Genomic DNA, 21,819 nt, shown 5'->3' on the forward strand with positions numbered 1-21,819 from the left:
TCCAAAGAGTGTCTGCCGAAAGGACCAGTCTCCTTGGAGAGTGTAATGTGTCATGGCACTATTCACTTTTGGGGGAAAAGAGCTTTACTTTTTAGAGTAAACTTGTGTTGAAAAGAACCAAAGCAAACACTGAAACCTATTCACAGACTGAAATCTTGTTTGCCTCAGGGAAATACTGTGCAAAATATTCTACAATCTTGAAAGTGCCCTGAAAATGAGTACTCCCTGTTTCAAGTCCTCAAATACCAATGACTCCAGAGAAGGCTGTGTTCTCCAATTTCACCTAAAAAGTAACAGATCTCCTAATGTTTTAAAGTTTGTGGGTTAAGCAGGAGCCTGAAACATTTTTTAAAAATCAACTTTATTGGCTGGGCGCGGTGGCTCATGCCTGTAATCCCAGCACTTTGGGAGGCTGAGGTGGGCTGATCATGAGGTCAGGAGTTCGAGACCAGCCTGGCCAACATAGTGAAACCCCATCTCTACTAAAAATACAAAAATTAGTCGGGTGTGGTGGTGCACGCCTGTAGTCCCAGCTACTCGGGAGGCTGAGGCAGGAGAATCATTTGAACCTGGGAGGCAGAGGTTGCAGTGAGCTGAGATTGTGCCACTGCACCCCAGCCTGGGCGACAGAGCAAGACTCAGTCTCCTAAAAACAAAAAAAAAAAAAAAAAAAAGAAAATCAGCTTTATTGAGGGATGTAGAATTCACATATGACACCCTGCCCTTTTTTTTTCTTTGTACCTCTTTGTAGTCCCTCCCTCCCTCTGCTTCTGGGCCCAAGCAACCCCTGATTTGCTTTTGGTCACTAAAAATCTCTTTCCTAGAGTTTTATATAAATGAAAGCATGTAATATGTGACCTTTTGTGCCTGACTACTTTCACTCAGCATAGTGATTTTGAGATTCATCTGTATTTTTGCATATCAGTAATCATTCCCTTTTATGTTGAGTATTACTCATCATATGGAAGTTCCACTTTCATTTTGTTTATTCGTTTATCTGCTGGTGGACATTTGACTGGTCCCCAGTTTTAGGATATTATGAATAATGCCACCATGAACATTCATGTATACCTCTCAGTGTGGACATTTTTCATGGATAAATACTTAATAACATAACATCTGGGTTATATATTTGTTTATATTTAACTATATGTTTAAACAAACTGCCAGTTTCCAAAGTGGTTGCACCATTCCATTTGACTCACATCTCTGCCAATACTTGGTATGAGCAATCTTTCTCCTTTCTTCATCCCGGTGGGCATGGAATGGTGTCTCATTGTGATTTTGATTTGCATTTCTCTGGTGACTGACAATCTCAAGCATCTTTTCGTGAGCTTATTGGCCATCACATGTCTGCTTTTAAGGATCTGTTCAAATCTATTGCCTATTTTTTTTTAAAAAATAGGTTATTTGTCTTCTTATTTCCCCAGAGATTTCAGGCAGTTGCTTCTTGTATCTTGTACAAAGACTATAAACACTATTTTTAAGAGTTTCCATTTCCAAAATATTGGAATCAGAATTCCTGATTAATTTAGTAAACAGAACCCTCACTGCAGAATCACGTGCAGAGTGCAGAGTGATTTAACGAATTGGTACACTCAGGAGTTACATCCTTTCATTATAGAAAAACAAATAAAATAATTTAATTTTCTAAGAAGAAAAGCTTAAAACAAAGCATTTTTTTCCCTTCTGGTGCTGTGTCAGCCAAAACAAGGCTCGTTTTTCCTTTTGGGCTTCCTGCCTGGCCCCTGATGCTGAAACCCAAGGTCTCTGACATTTCATTCTCCACTGACATTCATTGCACCATCAAGATAATATTTTTTTTCTGGTAAAATTTGGAACACAACTTTCTTCACGTCCTTTTATTATATTTTGAATTTTACTTGTTAATTGGTTAACGACTAGTAATTTTCAAAACAACCTGTTGCTTGAATTCAATTATTAACATGAAAAAAATATGGGTCTTTAGAGATATCTGACCTGATTAAAACAGACTTCTCTCCATGGGATCTGCTTTAATATATACATTAGCGTTACTTTTATTGGGCACATGATTTCATTTCTTTACATATTATTTTAAATGCTTAAGCACTTTGATTCACAAAGGCTAAATATTATTTACACAGCGCTGGATTTGGCATTAATTTGTATGATAAACCCTTTGTATAGTGTACCAACTCAAACTCTGTAACAAGTGGAACCTAGATTATTTCCAAGTTCTGAATTAAGAAATCCAAATTCAGGAGTTTTGCAGACTTGAGCAGCTGTCTTCACCACCTGTGATTCAGATTTGGACAGTGTTGTACCAGGTGTCAGCATCGATGGTGCCCATATTTATATTCAATGTTGAATGTTCCTCTTTCTGTACCCTACTTTAAAACAAAAGCCCCTAACACATTGAAGAAATCAAAGTTTGTCTACTTGCCCTTTCCAAAGACATGGCTCTGCTCACTCAATATCAACTTTGATTTCGAAGCCAATCCAGATATTAAATAGAAGGAATGTTTGGACATATCTTCTTCATTTGGAATTTCAAATTGATATGCTTTTTGACATGTCAAGTCCTGACACAGACAAATCAACTAGAAAGAGCAGGAGATTCTACATTTAGAGGCTTCTGATCTAGTCTGTGGAAGAAATTAAGGATTCTTTATATATTTCCACTCAAAATAGTTCTTTCTGTCTTCCCAATGAAAATATTTTCTATTATTAAATGATTGTAATAGATTAACAATAGTGTAGGGTTGACATCTTTATAATAATGAACCATGATTCCATCCTCTGATTATTCATTATATTAATGGGAACCATAATTTTATATTTCCTGATATATTTTCTTTGCCAGGCAATCAGTATTTACCTAACCCTGCATCCCATCTGTCATTATGATCAAGAGAATCATGTTTATTACCCAGAAGAGAAGGGACAGCAGACAGAGATATGCTTAGGGGTAAGGAAGTAAGAAATATGATATAGGAAAGGTTGCCATCAGACCAGAATGGGATGTCCCCTTAACGCATGGAAGGAAGAGAGAGAAAATTGGAGACTTCCCTGAATCTTTAATAAGTGACCTAGCACCCTATCCTTCTACATCTGGGCAAAAATGGGTTATAAGGAAAACTCTTTCTAGAAGCCCAGGTGGGCTGAGGGATAGCTTGCCTGCCCCTCCCACCATGCCCCGGCTGGCTGATCAGCAGGAGCAAAGGAGGTGTCTAGAAAGATGGACCTGAGGTAGCCAACTGGTCACTTGAAGGCACACCTGTTGAGTACAGGTGACCCAGGGGTCCCAAATGCCCTGGACAGGAGGCGTGAGCTAATGAAGAAACCACTGGATGGTCAGAGGCTTGAGGTTGGGATGTGGAGGCCATAGAGTGTGAGGAGGTCAGTGAGTGGAGAAAGAAATGTCAGACCTTGGGCTTCAGCATCAGGGGCTGGCAGGAAGTCCAAAAGGAAAAATGAGCCTTGTTTTGGCTGACACAGCACCAGGAGCTTGAGGAAAAGACCAAACACCACTCAATGGAACCTGTTCTGCCCCAGAGCCCAGACACAGAGCAATCTCCCTGAGGGTGTGCAGACTCCCACTCCACCTGGGCAGGCAGGAGGGAGGTGAGGAATGACGCTGAGCAATTCAACTTTGCACTTGTCTTACCCAAAGGGCTATTTAGCTGAAAAAGTGATTCGAATCAAACGGATAAGCTCCGCTTTAATCAATAACAGTGCTGATACTTACTGAGTGTGTGCTGTGTGACAGTCCCTGTTCAGAGTCCTCATGACAACCCCATTTATGGTAGGTGTTACTGTTTACCTCCATTTTCCAGACAAGGCAACTGAGGCTCTGAGAGAACCATGGAGTGATAAGCAGAGAAGCTGGATGTGCTCGCCATTCCCTGGGCTCTTCTGGGGACACTTGCTTCTATCTCTCTATCACGAGGGTAGAGGAGACACCAAACAAGGTGAGCTTGATTGGGCACACCCATGCGAGGAAACACGCTTCTCACACATCTGAGTCATGTGAGTCAATCCTCTACATGGCTTTCCAAGCATAGCCATTTCTTCCCCAACACAGGAACCAGGAGGGATGCCTTGTAGAAACAGAGCTCCACAGATGCATCACTCTTTTATTTTAGCTAATAATAGAGAACACTTGTACCGTCAAGGTATTGATTGTAGCTTCTAAAAAGCACATAGAACAACAGGTGCAGGTTAAAATCCCTGCCTACTTTCCTGGTATGTGTGTAAAGGATCCCCTCAATGTCCAAGCTATGGCCTTCCTCACCCAGCCCTCACCAAGTGGAGTGGCTATGGCCTTCTATGCAGGTCATGTGAAAAAAGGTTGACCCCATTCCCCCACCATGGCTCTTGGTCAAGAAACAAACAAGCCCTCTGTGAAACAATGTACTCTGGAAGCTGGTGAATGGTAGCATATTCCATCAGGCTGGGCATGAGCAATTACTGGGAAGCCCAGCTGCAGAGCTGAACTTAGGGCTCCTGCCACGGGTGTGAGCCCTTAGCTGCAGGATCATGAGCCAAGTCTGTCTCCCAAGCATGGGCTGCAGCCCCTGAGCCTTGCCTGAAGCTCTGTGCCAGCATCTCCCCATCCAGGAGCTGCTCCACTGCCAGGTCAGCCCTTGAGGCCTGTATCCAGCACCAAGAAGGCCCCTCCCATGGCCCCATCCTTCCCTTTCCTCCAGAGGCCACCTGGACTCATCTCTCTTCTCTGCTGTCTCATCAACTATGAGTAAATAATGATCCCCCAATCATATCTGATACTTAGTAAGTGTTGCTGTCTTTGAAGTTGTCAACCTTGAGTTCAGACTCTTATTTTAAGAATGCAGTGACTTGCCCAAGTTTCTTTTGGAATTCCATAACAGAACCTGAGTCTTCTTCCTTTGGGTCATGCAGTCGTGGTTCACTCATCTATGACTTTCAAGGAGACTCTAATTTTTAGAAATGGGACTCACCACTTCGTGGAGGCAGGAATTGTGGCAAGAGGAGCCACTGGGACCAGGAGAGATGCCTTGGGAAACAGCGTTCTTATCTCCTGTCTATATTCTGTGGACCTCCCAATGTGAAACTCTTTGTTTTCTGCATTCTGACTCTATGTGCTGTAATTCAGAACCATCTTCATGTTGTTATGATACTGCATTGACTACGTGAATGGAGACAAAAAATGTCTACAGAGCTATCAACAAAGACACATCACTGGTAAGACTGCCAGCCTTACGAGGGCTGACCCAGACCTGCACACATTGGGCCTTGCATATTGTCAGAGGCAGCGCTGAACCTTGTCTTCCCACAAGGAGCTGGGAAGCTTCCCACAAGGTGTGGTAGACCAGCTGGGGAGGGTGTGAATGTCTCTTCCAGAGACTCACAAAGGCAAGCTCAAGATCTGAGGTGAGGAGGATGAGGAGGCGTGGTACAGTGCCTCCCACAGGCTTGGACTCAGCCATTTTAATGGCGTCCTCAAGTGTAATGTGCGATGCTGCAGTGATGCACGGGCTTGCCAGGGAGCAGTATGTCCCCACGTGAGTCAGTTTTTTGGGAGGAATGTCTGTGTCATCCATCATTGAAAAAGCCTCCTTCAATGAGTGCCCTAGGGGTCAAGTGCAAGAGCTTTTTAAGGATTCTTGTCAAGCTGGTCTAGCTGCTCTGAAACATCTTCGGATGCCCAGGCAGCTGGAGGTGTCACACCAGGCTCACCATTTGCAAGACGCCTCAGGATTTTGCTCAGACACCCTCAGGAGACACTCCAGGAGGAAGTCTGCCAGCTGCCATGTTGTTGGCACAATGTGCATTGGGGCATGAAGCTGAGAAGCCGAGGGTCACGCGGGCATTCCTTTGGTGCCGAAGCATGCCCTGCAGCCTCTTCATCCAGGTGTGGCACTCAGCTGGCCACACAGACGGGGCTGAGCCTGCTTACATAACTGCCCAGGAGCACTCGCAGGTCCTACAGGAACTTGGACTCCAGACTCCGTAATTCTGGCTCACTCATGCAATGTATTGAAGCCTTTAGTTTTCTCATCTATAAACTGAAAACAGGAAAACCCATAAGGCATGTGCTGTTATGAGATTGAATGAGATAGTATATGCAAGGTCCTCCTGCATCAGAAGCACTTACCATATGGACGGGTTTGAAGGCCATGGAAAAGTGTGTGGTGTGGGCAGATCCAGAAGCACCTGTGCATCGGCAGGACGTGAATGATGTGTTCAGGTTTCTCACACCCACATTGCCTTAGTGATGACTGAAAAGAAGAATGGGTACCCATTGTCATCAAGGACAGCTTTGAGGCCTAAGCAAAGACAAGCAGCCTTCAGTCCCCTTTTGTGCATGACAGCTTGCATTGCCCAAACAACGAGTGATTTTTTTTAATTTGACATTTATTTTCATACTACATTCAGGGAGGAACAGTTAGAAAGTGATAGAATTTTTCTTGAAGTTTATTTTATTTTATCTATTTTTTATTTTTATTTTAAAAATATTTTTATTATTTTATTTTATGTTTCCATAAGTTATTGGAGTACAGGTGGTATTTGGTTACATGAGTAAGTTCTTTAGTGGTGATTTGTGAGATTTTGGTGTGCCCATCACCTGAGCAGTATACACTGCACCCTATTTGTAGTCTTTTATCCCTCACCCCTCTCCCACTCTTCCCCACAAGGCCCCAAAGTCCATGGTATCATTCTTATGCCTTTGCATCCTTACAGCTTAGCTCCCACTATCAGTGAGAACATATGATGTTTGGTTTTCCATTCCTGAGCTACTTCACTTAAAATAATAGTTTCCAATCTCATCTAGGTCACTGCAAATGCTGTTAGTTCCTGTTTTATGGCTGTGTAGCAGTCCATCGTATATATATATATACGTATATGTGTATATATGTATATGTGTGTGTGTGTATATATATATGTATGTATATATACCACAGTTTCTTTATCCACTCGTTGATTGATGGGCATTTGGGTTGGTTCCATGATTTTGCAATTGTGAATTGTGATGCTATAAACATGCATGTGCAAGTATCTTTTTCAAATAATGACTTCTTTTCCTCTGGGTAGATATCCAATAGTGGGATTGCTGGATCAAATGGTAGTTCCACTTTTAATTCTTTAAGGAATCTCCACACTGTTTTCCATAGTGCCTGTACTAGTTTGCATTCCCACCAGCAGTGTAGAAGTGTCCCCTGTTCACTGCATCCATTCCAACATTTACTATTTTTTGATTTTTTGATTATGGCCATTCTTGCAGGAGTGAGGTGGTATTGCATTTGTGGTTTTGATCTGCATTTCCCTGATAATTAGTGATGTTGAGCATTTTTTCATATGTTTGTTGACCATTTGTATATCTTCTTTTGAGAATTGTATATTCATGTCCTTAGCCCGCTTTTTGTTGGTATTGTTTGTTTTTTTTCTTACTCATTTGTTCGAGTTCATTGTAGATTCTGAATATTAGTCCTTGGTCCGATGTATAGATTGTGAAGATTTTCTCCCACTCTGTGGGTTGTCTGTTTATGCCGCTGACTGTTCCTTTTGCTGTGCAAAGGCTCTTTAGTTTAATTAGGTCCCAGCTATTGATCTTTGTTTTTATTGCATTTGCTTTTGGGTTCTTGGTCATGAAATCTTTGCCTAAGCCAATGTCTAGATGGGTTTTTCCAATGTTAACTTCTAGAATTTTTATAATTTCAGGTCTTAGTTTTAAGTCCTTAATCCATATTGAGCTGATTTTTGTATAAGTTGAGAGATGAGGATCCAGTTTTATTTTCCTACATGTGGCTAGCCAATTATCCCAGCACCATTTGTTGAAAAGGGTGTCCTTTCCCCACCTTATGTTTTTGTTTGCTTCGTCAAAAATCAGTTGGCTATAAGTATTTCAGTTTATTTCTGGGTTATCTATTCTGTTCCATTGGTCTATGTGCCTATTTTTATACAAGTACTATGCTGTTTTGGTGACTATGGCCTTATGGTATAGTTTGAAATCAGGTAGTGTGATGCCTCCATGTTTGTTCTTTTTGCTTAGTCTTGCTATGGCTGTGTGGACTCTTTTTTGTTCCATAGGAATTTTAGAGTTGTTTTTTTCTAGTTCTGTGAAGAATGATGGTGGTATTTCAACGAGGATTGCATTGAATTTGTAGATTGCTTTTGGCAGTATGGTCATTTTCACAATATTGATTCTACCCATCTATGAGCATGGGATGTGTTTTCATTTGTTTGTGTCATCTATGATTTCTTTCAGCATTGTTTGTAGTTTTCTTTGTAGAAAGTCTTTTGACTCCTTTGTTAGGTATACTTCTAAGTATTTTATTTTATTTTATTTTATTGCAGCTATTGTAAAAGGGGTTGAGTTCTTGATTTGATTCTCTGCTTGGTTGCTGTTAGTGTATAGATTTGTGTATATTCATCTTGTATCTGGAAACTGTGCTGAATTCTTTTATCAGTTATAGGAGCTTTCTGGAGGAGTCCTTAGGGTTTTGAAGTTAAATGATCATATTGTCAGCAAACAGTGAAAATTTGACTTCTTCTTTACCGATTTGGATGCCCTTTATTTCTTTCTCTTGTCTGATTGCTCTGGCTAGTACTTCCAGTACTATCTTGAAGAGGAGTGGTGAGAGTGGGCATACTTGTCTTGTTCCTGTTCTCAGAGGGAATGCTTTCAACTTTTCCCCATTCACTATTATGTTGGCTGTGGGTTTGTCATAGATGGCTTTTATTACATTAAAGTATGACCCTTGTATGCTTATTTTGCTGAGGGTTTTAATCATAAAGCGATACTGGATTTTGTTGAATACTTTTTCTGCATCTATTGAGATGATCATGTGATTTTTGTTTTTAATTCTGTTTATGTGGTATATCATATTTATTGACTTGCATTTGTTAAACCATCCCTCATCTGTGGTATGAAGCCCACTGATCATGGTGGATTATCTTTTTGATATGTTGTTGGAGTCTGTTAGTTAGTATTTTGTTAAGGATTTTAGCATTTATGTTCATCAAGGGTATCAGTCTGTAGTTTTCTTTTTTGGTTGTGTCCTTTTCTGGTTTTGGTTTTCTGGTTTTGGCTTCATATAATGAATTAGGGAGGGTTCCTTCTTTGTCTATTATGTGGAATAGTGTTAAAAGGATTGGGACCAATTCTTCTTTGAATGTCTGGTAGAATTCTACTGTGAATCTGGTCCTGGACTTTTTTTGTTAGTGTTATTATTATTATTATTTGAGAAAGAGTCTCACTCTGTTGCCCAGGCTGAAGTGCAGTGGCACGATGTCAGCTCACTGCAATCTCTGACTTCTGGGTTCAAGCAATTCTCCTGCCTCAGCCTCCCGAGTAGCTGGGATTACAAGCATGAGCCACTGTGCCCGGCTGGGAATTTTTAAATTACCATTTCAATCTCACTGCTTGTTATTGGTCTGTTCAGGGTATCTACTTCTTCCTGATTCAAGCTAGGAGGATTGTATTTCTTCAGGAATTTATCCATCTCTTCTAGGTTTTCTAGTTTATGTGCATAAAGGTGTTCATAGTAGCCTTGAGTGTTCTTTTGTATTTCAGTGGTGTCAGTTGTAATATCTCTCGTTTCATTTCTTAGTGAGGTTATTTGGATTTTCTCTCTTCTCTTCTTGGTTAATCTTGCTAATGGTCTATCAGTTTTATTTATCTTTTCAAAGAACCAGTTTTTTGTTTCATTTATCTTTTGTATTTTTTTTTGTTTCAACTTCATTTAGTTCTGCTTTGATCTTGGTTATTTCCTTTCTTCTGCTGGGTTTGGTTTGGTTTCTTCTTGTTTCTCTAGTTCTTTGAGGCGTGACCTTAGATTGTCTGTTTGTGCTGTTTCAGACTTTTTGATGTAGGCATTTAGGGAAATGAACTTTCCTCTTAGCACCACCTTAGCTGTATCCCATAGGTTTTGATAGGTTGTGCCATTACTGTCATTCAGTTTGAAGAAGTTTTTAATTTCCATCTTGATTTCATTTTTGACCCAGTTCTCATTCAGGAGCAGGTTATTTAGTTTTCATATATATGTGTGGTTTTGAAGGCTCCTTTTGGTGTTGATTTCCAGTTTTATTACACTGTGGTCTGAGAAAATGCTTGATATGATTTCAATTTTCTTAAATTTATTGAGGCTCGTATTATGGCCTATCACATGGTCTATCTTGGAGAAAGTTCCACATGCTGTTGAATAGAATGTGTATTCTGCAGTTGTTGGATGAAATGTTCTGTATATATCTGTCCATTTGTTCCAAGGTGTAGTTTAAATCCATTGTTTCTTTGTTGACTTTCTGTCTTGATGACCTGTCCAGTGCTGTCAGTAGAGTATTGAAATTCCCCGCTATTATTGTGTTGCTGTCTATCTCATTTCCTAGGTCTATTAGTAATTGTTTTATAAATTTGGGGGCTCCAGTGTTAGGTGCATATATGTTTAGGATTGTGATATTTTCCTGTTGAACGAGTCCTTTTACCATTATATAATATCCCTCTTTGTCTCTTTTAACTGCTGTCACTTTAAAGTTTGTTTTGTCTGACATAAGAATAGCTACCTCTGCTTGCTTTTGGTGTCCATTTGCATGAAATGCCTTTTTCCACCCCTTTACTTTAAGTTTATGTGAGTCCTTATATGTTAGGTGAGTCTCCTGAAGGCAGCAGATAGTTGGTTGGTGAGTTCTTATCCATTCTGCAGTTCTGTATCTTTTAAATGGAGCATTTAGACCATTTACATTCAATGTTAGTGTTGAAATGTGAGGTACCATTGCATTCATCATGCTCTTTGTTGCCTGTGTATTTTTGTTTGTTTGTTTTTGCTTTTAACTTGTATTATTGTTTTATAGGTCCTGTGTGATTTATACTTTAAAAAGGTTCTGTTTTGTTGTGTTTTCAGGATTTATTTCAAGATTTAGAGCTCCTTTTAGAACAGTCCTTGTAGTGGTGGCTTGGTAATGGCAAATTCTCTCAGCATTTGTTTGTCTGAAAACAACTGTTTCATTCCTTCATGTGTGATTCTTAATTTTGCTAGATACAAAATTCTTGGCTGATAATTGTTTTGTTTGAGGAAGCTAAAGATAGGGCCCCAATCCCTTCTAGCTTGTAGGGTTTCTGCTGAGAAATCTGCTGTTAATCTGATAGATTTTCCTTTATAGGTTACCTGGTGCTTCTGTCTCACAGCTCTTAAGATTCTTTCCTTCATCTTAACTTTGGATAACCTGATGACAATGTGCCTAGGTGAAGATCTTTTCACGATGAATTTCCCGCGTGTTCTTTGTGCTTCTTGTATTTGCATGTCTAGGTCTCTAGCAAGGCCTGGGAAGTTTTCCTCAATTATTCCCCTGAATATCTCTTCCAGGCTTTTAGAATTCTCTTCTTCCTCAGGAACACTAACTATTCTTAGATTTGGTCATTTAACATAATCCTAGACTCCTTGGAGGCTTTGTTCTTATTTTCTTATTCTTTTTTTGTTGTTGTTGTCTTTGTTGGATTGGGTTAATTTGAAGACTTTGTCTTTGAGCTCTGAATTTCTTTCTTCTACTTGTTCAATTCTATTGCTGAGAGTTTCCAGAGCATTTTGCATTTCTAAAAGTGTGTCCAAAGTTTCCTGAATTTTTTCTGGTGTTTTCTTTAAGCTATCTATTTCCTTGAATATTTCTCCCTTCACTTCTTGTATCATTTTTTGGATTTCCTTGCATTCGGCTTTGCCTTTCTCTGGTCCCTCCTTGGTTAGCTTAGTAACTAAACTCCTGAATTATTTTACAGGTAAATCAGGGATTTCTTCTGGATTTGGATTCATTGCTGGCAAATTAGTGTGATTTTGGGGGGGTGTTGAAGAGCCTTGTTTTGTCATATTACCATGATTGGTTTTCTGGTTCCTTCTCATTCCCTTTGTCAGAGGGAAGGTCTAGGGCTGAAGGCTATTGTTTAGATTGTTTGGTCCCATGGGGTGTTCCCTAGATGTAGTACTCTCCCTCTTTTCCTATGGATGTGGCTTCTTGTAAGCCAAACTGAGGTGATTGCTGTCTCTCTTTTGGGTCTAGCCACCCAGCAAGTCTACCCAGCTCTGGTCTGGTACTGGGGGTTGTCTGCACAGAGTCCTGTGATGTGATCCTCTCAGCCATGGATACCAGTTCCTATTCCAGTGGAGGTGGCGGAGGGTGCAATGGACTCCATGAGGGTCCTGACCTATGGTGGTTTCATGCTCTATTTTTGTGCTGGTTTTTCTCCTGCCAGGAGGTGGCACTTTCCAGAAAGCATCAGCTGTAGTAGTATGGAGAGGGACTGGCAGTGGGTGGAGCCCTAGAACTCCCAAGATTATATGCCCTTTGTCTTCTGCTACCAAGGTGGATAGAGAAGGCCCATCAGGCGGGGCTAGATGTGTCTGAGCTCAGACTCTCCTTGGGCAGGTCTTGCTGTGGCTGCTGTGGGGGGTGGGGGTGAGATTCCCAGGTCACTGCAGTTGTGTACCTAGGAGGATTATGGCTGCCTCTGCTGAGTCATACAGGTTGTCAGGGAAGTGGGGGAAAGGCAGCAGTCACAGGTCTCACCCACCTCCCAGCAAACCAAAGAGCCATTCTCACTCCCACTGTGTCACCTGCAACAGCCCTGAGTCTGTTTCCAGGCCAAGGGTGAGATGGGCTTGAAAACTTGCCCAAGGCTGTCTGCCTCTTAGAGTATTTGGGGTGTCTCCTGGGTCCGGCAGAAGCAGTCTTCTTCCTTCAGAGGGTCTGTGGGTCCTCTCAGGATTGCTGGTTTTTTCTTGCTGTTGATCTGAAGCTAAAATTCACAGTGGAAGCCTCCCCATGCTGCTCTGTCTGGAGCTGCAATCTAGTCCTGCCTCCCATCTGCCATGATCCCAAAATCCTGATGGTTGGTTTCATGTGCCAACTTGACTGGGCCATGTAGTACCCAGATATTTGGTCAAACCTTATTCTGGGTGTCTCAGTGAGGGTGCTTTTGGATGGGATTAATGTTTACATTGGTAGGCTGAATAAAGCAAAGCACATGGCACTCCCCCATGTGGGTGGGCTCATTTAAGTCTTTGAAGGCCTAAATAAAACAAAATGTCTGGCCTCCCAGAGGCTTCTCTAAAAACTCTTCAGATGACTGCTTTTGGAAACTTTCTTGCCTGACCACCTTCAAAGTGGGACATTGGTTTTATTTCCTTCTTTGGACTTGAATTGAAACATTGGTTCTTCCTAGATCTTGGGCCTGCTCGCCTTCAGACTGGAACCACACCACCAGCTCTCCTGGGTCTCTAGCCTGCTGACTCACCCTGCAGCTCATGGGACTTGTCAGTCTCCATAATCGGGTGAGCCAATTCCTTATAATAAATTTCTTTCTGTAAAGCTATATGCACCCTGCTGGTTCAATTTCACTGGAGACCCCTAATATACAATCTATTTTTGGTTCATTTTGGGTCATTTCAGCTGTGAAGGAATGTAGAGATGGAGGAGAGAGTCCCACTGTGTGGTGCCCTGGGCTTTCTGCCAGACAACAAACAGGGCCCAGTACCAAAGCAAACCAAAGACATGTGGACCTCAGACTGCATCTGAGTGTCCTTGCCAGAGTATACAAGCTTCTGGGTGGCTACCTCCTAAATTTTCAATATTGCCCAAGTTCACCAAGTACTTGTATGAACTTCATGTCCTGACTCCTTGGTGAGGTGTTGTTTTTCCTTTTTTTTTTTTTTTCGTTTTTGTTTTTTGAGATGGAGTCTGTCTCTGTTGCCCAGGATGGAGTGCAGTGGCACGATAGCTCACTGCAACCTCTGCCTCCTGGATTAAAGCAATTATCCTGCCTCAGCCTCCTGAGTAGCCAGGACCACAGGTGTGTGCCACCACACCTGACTAATTTTTTATATTTTTGGTAGAGATGGGGTTTCATCACATTGGCCAGGCTGGTCTTGAACTCCTGACCTCCTGATCCATCCACCTCGGTCTCCCAAAGTTCTGGGCTTACTTTAACAGAGTTACATAATGATTGGAAATCTGTGAAATGCAAAACTTTTACCAACTATTTCACTAAATAAATGCAGCATGCTAAGATGTTTTTGTTCTTGATTTCTTTTTTATTGTGATTTTAATTTTTTTTTTGTGGAGAGTTTAGAAAATGCACAGGGATATAGAAAAGGAAGTCTGTAAATAGCTGCCATCTCAGTGCCCACAGGTGTAGGATGAGTGTGTGATACTTAGGGACCCAGTGCTTTCCCTCTGCATGGTGGACAGTGGCCCCTTGGGGCATCTATTTGCAGGATCCATGTGCAGGAAGGTTTGGATTTGGCTGAGAGAGGAGTTCAGGCTGGGCCCTGTTGGGGATGGGAAAGGATGGTGGGATGGGCCTCCCTCTACCCTGCCCCACAAGGACCAGAGAGACTAGCAGCCCTCTTTTTGGACACTCTCAAGGGTGGCATTGGGGCAGCAGTGCAGGGCCTGGGACCTGTGGGTTCCAGTTCCAGGGGACATCTGAGCACTTCCTGGCCACACACAAAAACAACGGGGGAAGTGAGACAGTGGGGATCCAGATGGCTCCTCAGGAGGTAGCGGCCCAGAGCTGCCATAACAGAGGTGCAAAGAGAGCCCCTGCAAGCTCACTTCTGCTCCCAGGCTGGTGAGACTGAAAACATTGAGGGAGGATGACATTCAGGCCTTCGTTCCTTTCATAGATGCAAAATTGTTACTGTTCTCTTACAAAATTGGGACACTTCATATGCAGTTTTGTATCCTTTCTCTTTTTGGGGGGGGTTCATAGTTTCATTTTTATACTTTTTCTTATGTTATAAAGTTTCTATAATAAGCATGCATTGCTTTTAAAATCAGAAAAAGTCATGTGATTAATTAAAACAGGATGTAGATCAGTCACTGAGCAATTCTGTCTGCCTAGCAACCTCAGCTGGCAGCCTGTGGGCGGTGGTGTAGGGGGCAGCAAGAGACAAGTGGGCGGGCGGCCGGGGAGTGGACAGCACAGGGATGCAGGACAGCAATGTCTCATAGCTTCAGAATCCCTGCAGCAGATACCTTTCATGTGGTTTTATTGTCTTTAAGTAGAACTGTAGGTTTTATCTTATTTTTTCTCCAAATTCATGCAAGGCTATGAACTGAGAAAGCTGGTATGGAAGGTTGCAAGTTGCTGTTAGTGTCATGGAGGTAAAATCTTCATCAGCCCAGCTGAGCATGTCCTGAAAAAAAAACCAGCAAACAACCAGGCCTGGTTTCTACAGTCTGCAAACTACTATTGTTGAGAGCTTACCACTCCACATATTTTTTCCCAGCTTTATTGAGGTATAGTTAGCATACACAATAGTATAAATTTAAGGCATACAATGCGATGATTTCATATATGTATATATCGTGGAATGACGACCACAATCAAGTTAGTTAAGACCTTCATCGCTTTACATAGTTACCCTTTGTGTGTGTGTTTTGTATGTGTGTGCACATCTGTGGTGAGAACATTTAACATAAGTTTGACAGAGAAAGACAAGTACTGCATGATCTCATTTTTATGTGGCGTGTAAAAAAGCCCAACTCTTGCAAGCAGAATGGTGGTTGACCCGGGGCTGGGGTGGGGGAAATGGGGACATGTTGGTCAAAGGGTGCAAACTCTCAGCATGAGATGAGTAAGTTCTGGGTTACTAATGTACAGCATGGTGACTGCAGTTAACAATACTGTATTGTATACTTGAAATTCCCTTATATTCGTTTGAAAGGTCTGTTCTTACGCAGAGGCCAGCTGAAGTCAGTAAATTCCATTCAGCAATATAGGTAGCAGCTGCCCCCTGAAGACGTCACCGGCCGAGTTCATCAGCACCATGGGGAGTGCCCTGTGGATTTCCAGAGCCCAGCCTCCCTCCGTGTCTCTGGTCTTGCCATCCTGCCGCCTCTGCAGGCTCCAGCTCTCTGGGCTGGGGTTGGATAGGCACAGAGACTCTAGGCCACACTAAGAGCTGTGTGCCCCTCCTATGTCCATGTGCAGTTTTTATTGTCTTCATCGAGTTATTCCTCACACAAATCCTTTACAGCAGTGATTCTTAGATTGGTTTAATTTTTTAGATCACTCATCTCTTTGAAAATCTGATGAGTCATGAATGCTTTTTTCAAGGAAAGAGAATGTATGTGAGCCGTGCACACGTAGAATCTGACATACCATTTTGGGAGGGCTCATGCACCCTTAGAAGCCCATCTGTAAACTGTATGTCAAGAATCCATGGTCCCAGATGAAATACTGTGCAGTAGAGTCACCATGGCTCCCAGGGGCGACAGGGCCTGAGTAGACCTGATGTGACCCACTCATCTCCCTACTTGTTCATGGAAGACTCAGCCTCTAGGTTCAAAGAATCTCTTTCCTTTACTTCCACTGTCTTCCTGTGAGCACCACTCACACGGCTGACCCTTCTTGTCCCCCAGTTCCTGATGTCCACTCCTCCATGACCCTTCACCTTTTGCTCCCTCCACACCCTCCCATGGCTCACAGGCTCACCCCTCCAGCATGCAGGGGGACACCTACATGAAAAAGGAAACACCTCACTTCAAAAGAAACCCATGAGCAGTTCCTCCCCACTTCCCACTTCCTCCTAGCCCTTGGCAACCACTGGTTCTGTCTCTATGTATTTGCCTATTCCAAATACTTCACATAAAATTTTGCATGTTTTATACAATTTATGGCCTTTTGTGTCTGGCTTATTTAGCATAATGTTTTTAAGGCTCATCTACGTCATGGCATGTGTCAAAAAATTCCTTTTTATGGCAGAATAAGATTACATTTTCTTTGCCTATTCATTCATTGAAGGACATCTGAATTGTTTTCAGTTTTGGGGCTATGATGAATAATGCTGCTATAAGCATGTATATGCAAGTTTTCATGTGGACATAGATCTTCCATTCCCTTGGTATATACCTAGGATGAATTTTCATCCTTTCTTGCATTGAAGTATTTTGCCATATTTATGTAATCATTCTTCTACTATACTTAACCATTCTTTCATTATTGGACATTTATTGGACATTCTCTCATTATTGGTCATAATTTTCTTATCAGAAATGAGGGAGCTGGACCAGTTCAACTCTAAGTTCTCTCCCAGTTTTAAAGCCTGGACTCAGGGAGCCTCCCAAGCTCCACTGTTTAGCCCGTGGCCCCCAGCTCATCTCGGCATGTGTATCTCCTGCTGTACCGAACGGCCCATGAGGGGAAAGCAGGTGCTTATTTCACAGAAAGGCCACCCTGGTTACCAGCTACCATGTTTCATGCTCAGTGCTTTTCACAAGTTAAAATGGTCTGGAGATAGGAATTCCTTCTGACAGCTCTAGGATCTGCCATCAAAAAAGCCTTGCCAGCCTGAGTGATGTCCCCACCTTGGTTGGGAGGGGTGGTGACAGCCACTGGGAGCCAATCTTTGTGATGAGTTCATTTGTGCCCAATGAATGAAAATCAAGATGCCATGCAGAGCCCAGTCCGAAGCCTTGGTTGCACTGTTGATTACCTCGGTACCAGCCGCTGCCAGGAATCTAGTGCTGGGGACGGGGGAACAAATGAATCACCAATGAGTGCTGTAACTCTTGTAAAGCAAACCTACAAACACATAGGCACAAAGAAGAGCTGCACTATTATGGGATGAATTGTGCCACCCCAAACTCCTATGTTGGAGTCCTGACCCCCATTCCCTCAGAATGTGGCCATGTTTGGAAATAGGCTCTTTTAAAAGATAATTAAATTAAACCACGGCCATAGTATGGGTCCTAATGTAATATAACGTGTTTTTACAAGAAGGAAATGTTTACACAAAAACACACACCAAGAGAAGACAATGTGGGGATGCCAGGAGAAGCTGCCAGCTACAAGCCCAGGGGAGCGGCCTGGAGCAGCGTCCCCCTCACAGCCTCAGAAGGAACCGACCCTGCCCACTGATACCTTTATCTCGGACTTCCGGCTTCCAGGACTGGAAGAAATGAATTTCCGTTGTTCAAGCCACTGAGTCCGAGGTACTTCATTCCAGCAGCTCCAGCAAGCAACTATAGGTACAAAAACCATTCTGAGCTTAAAAGACAACCGAAAAAAATAAGTAGCCTTGTGTGTATTTCTAAAACTTAACTTAGAAAATGAGATAATAGCACGAGATTCTCTACCATTCTTAGGAGCCCTTTTTATTTTTAAAACCCATTCTGGTAAGATGTTAACATAAATCCTGTCCAAGAAATGCGAGCCCTGCTGCAGCCTCAAGGAATAATTCAAATCCCAAAGAGCCTTGATGTCTGACAGCTGTGGCTTGTTCTCCACCTCAGCCTTTCACCAGCCTCCCCCAGGAAGGTCACTCCGAGTCCCTGTGGATCCATTGCACACTGTTCCCTATCGAAGGTCTTCCAAACTATTACATCTCCATTAGGAAAACTGAAAAATACATGTTAAAGAAAAGATGAAAATCTCCAATAATCCTAACCTCTTAAGAAAAGTATTGTATCTATCACTTATATGTTATAGATATATATGACTTATTCTAAAAATGATTTGTGATTTCAAAAGTAACGCATTTTTATTGGAGATGATTCTCTTTTTCTCAACTTTTATTTTAGATTTAGAGAGTACTTGTTCAGGGTTGTTACCTGAGTACATTGTGTGATGCTGGAGTACAAATGAACTCATCACCCGGATACTGAGCATAGTACCCAATAATTTTTCAAACTTTGCTTCCCCTCCCTCTCCCTCTAGTGTCTATTGTTCTCATCTTATTTTGTTGTTGTTGTTGTTTTGGTTTTGCTTTTTTGAGACACAGGGTCTCACTCTGCCACCCAGGCTGGAGTGCAGTGGTGCAATCTGGGCTCACTGCAACCTCTGCCTCCTGAGTTCAAGCAATTCTCCCTGCCTCAGCCTCCCAAGTAGCTGGGATTACAGGTGCGCACCACAACGCCCAGCTAATTTTTGTATTTTTATTAGAGACGTGGTTGGCCAGGCTGGTCTCGAACTCCTGACCTCAGATGACCTGCCCGCCTCGGCTTCCCAAAGTGCTGGGATTACAGTTGTGAGCTACCATGCCCAGCCGATTGTTCTCATCTTTACGTCTGTGAGTACCCATTGTTTAGCTCCTGTTTATAAGTGAGAAGATGTGGTATTTGGTTTTCTGTTCCTGTGTCAATTCACTTAAGATAATGGCCTCCAGCTGCATCTGTGTTGCTGCAAAGGACATGATTTCGTTCTTACTTATGGCCTCATAGGATTCCACGGTGTATATGTACTACATCTTCTTTATTCAATCCACCACTGATGGGCACCTAGGCTTACTCTATGTCTTTGTTATTGTGAATAGTACTGCGATGAACATGTGAGTGCATGGGTCTTTTTGGTAGAATGACGTTTTCCTTACAAATGCTGTTTTTAAGATTTTGAGAAATCTCCAAACTTCTTTCCACAGCAGCTGAACTAATTTACATTTCTACTATCAGCGTATAATCATTCTCTTTTCTCTGCAGCTTCACCAGCATCTGTTGCATTTTGACTTTTTAATAGTAGCCATTCTGATTGGTGTGAGACGGTATCTCAGTGGAGTTTTTATTTTCATATCTCTGATGATTAGTGATGTTGAACACTTTTTCATACGTTTGTTGGTTGCTTGTGTGTCTTCTTTTGAGAGGTATCTGCTTGTGTCTTTTTTCCATTTTTAAATGGAGTTATTTGTTTTTTGCTTGTCCAATTGTTAAGTTCCTTATAGAGTCTAGATATTAAACCGTTGTCACATGTGTAGTTTGAGAATATTTTCTTTTATTCTGTAGATTTTCTGTTTATTCTGTTGATCATTTCTTTTGCTGTCCAGAAACTCTTTAGTTTAATTAGATTCCACTTACCAATTTTTGGTTTTGTTGCAGTTGCTTTTGATGACTTAGTTATACATCCTTTCCCAAGGCCAATGTCTAGAATGATGTTTCCTAGGTTTTCTTCTAGAATTCCTAGAGTTTGGGGTCCTACATTTAATTATTAAATGAGTCTTGAGCTAATTTTTGTATGTGGTGAAAGGTAGGTGTCTGGTTTTGTTCTTCTGCATATGGCTAGCCAATTATCCCAGCATCATTTATTGACTAGGGAGTCCTTTCCCCATTGCTTATTTTTGTTGACTTTGTCAAATATTGGATGGCTGTAGGTGTCCGGCTTTATTTCTGTGTTCTCTGTTCTGTTCCACTGGTCTGTGTGTCTGTTTTTGTACCAGTACCATGCTGTTTTTGGTTACTATAGCCTTATATTAATATTAGCCACAAATAATTGAAGGATAAAACTTTAATAATAATACTATTTATAAAAGTGTCAGAAAACAATCAAATATCTAGAAATAAATTTACCAAACTATGCACAGGACCATTACACAACTATAGAATATGATCAAGAGCAATTAAAGAAGATCAAAATAAATGCAAGTTAAGATCATGTTTGGGGATGGAAGTCAGAAAATGGCTAAGACTTGATTGAGATTCAGTCTAATCAGAATAAAAATTATAGTAGGTGTTTTGGGGGAATTTGACAAGTTGATTCTAAAATTAATATAAAATGCAGAGTCAATGATAGCAAAGGCGATCCTACTGCTGTATACACATGGATAAATCCCACAAGTATGATGCCAAGGGAAAGAAGCCAGCTACAAGAATCCACCCTGTATCATCTCATTTCATAAACACTGAAAAACAAGTGAGACCAATTTATTTTAATGAAAATCAAAACAGTGGTTATCTTTATGGTTGTAATATTTGAGGGGGTGCTAGGGAGTTTTCTGTGGTGTTAGAAATGGCTACATCTTGATCTGAGGGTGTTCATTTTATACAGACTCAATTTGGCTGAATACTCATGATTTGTGTATGTGGGTATGCATGTTGTACTATGATAAAATCTGTGTAGAGTTAAGACTTTGGTCTCTCTTAATCCAACAATACCTTGGCTTAAATTTGTTGAGTATATTTGATATCTAACGATTTTGACAAAGCTGTATGGGAAATGTACAACAGGAAATTTTGTCTTACAAGTCATAAATAAATATAGTTTAAGCCTCTGATTTATTAGGTAGGCAAATTAAAACAAATATCATCACAAGGATTACAACAGCCAAACGGAAGGCTAGATCAAAGTGGAAAAGCAAAGTAGTTGCACAATATTTTCACCCCTTTTGGCCAATTTGCTGGCATTTGCTCTGCCTAACAGGGTAAAACTCATTCTCTCCCATTATTTATTTGTTTTAAGACTAGAGGGAAAAAACATCAAGAAATAATTTTACTTCCAGTTTCTCAGAAGCAAGGGTATGTGACTTTAACTGAAATTGTAACTTTTTAACTAAGAAGCTACAGGTATGAGTGACCAACAAACACATGAAATTTCTTACAACCAGCACAATGCTTCAAATACACTAGAATGGCTAAAATTAAAGACTGACAATATCAAGTGTTGATAAGGATGTGAAGCACTGCAATTCTCATATTTTGCTAGAAGGAGTGTGAAATGGTACAACCATGGTAGAAGAATGTTTTGCAATATCTTATAAAATTAAACATAAATGCTTCTTTTAACCTGAGAATTCCCATTCATGGATATGTGATTCCGTCTACCAAGAAAAAAAATGGAAATATATATTCAAACAAACAACTCATACTTTGTCTTACAAGTCATAAATAAATATAGTTTAAATCTCTGATTTATTAGATAGGCAAATTAAAATAAATGTCATCACAAGGATTACAACAGCCAAGTGGAAGGCTAGATCAAAATGGAAAAGCAAAGTAACTGCATAGTATTTTCACCCCTTTCGGCCAATTTGTTGGCATTTGCTCTGCCTAACAAGGTAAAACTCAACTTCAGTATTAAGAATATTAATTGTAGCATTGTCC

At 41.3% G+C, this 21,819-nt stretch overlaps 1 long non-coding RNA gene across 1 annotated transcript in view; it reads left to right on the forward strand.

The window, feature by feature from the left end:
• LOC124902205 (uncharacterized) overlaps nucleotides 1-21,819 on the forward strand; it is a 75,065-nt gene that overhangs the window by 21,576 nt on the left and 31,670 nt on the right. Inside the window, exons 2-3 of the long non-coding RNA XR_007061654.1 lie at nucleotides 3,819-3,953; nucleotides 13,172-13,280. This is a non-coding gene — a long non-coding RNA (uncharacterized LOC124902205). The remainder of the gene's footprint in view (nucleotides 1-3,818; nucleotides 3,954-13,171; nucleotides 13,281-21,819) is intronic.

This window comes from Homo sapiens, chromosome 9, assembly GCF_000001405.40.
Source record: "Homo sapiens chromosome 9, GRCh38.p14 Primary Assembly".
Lineage (NCBI taxonomy): Eukaryota > Metazoa > Chordata > Mammalia > Primates > Hominidae > Homo > Homo sapiens.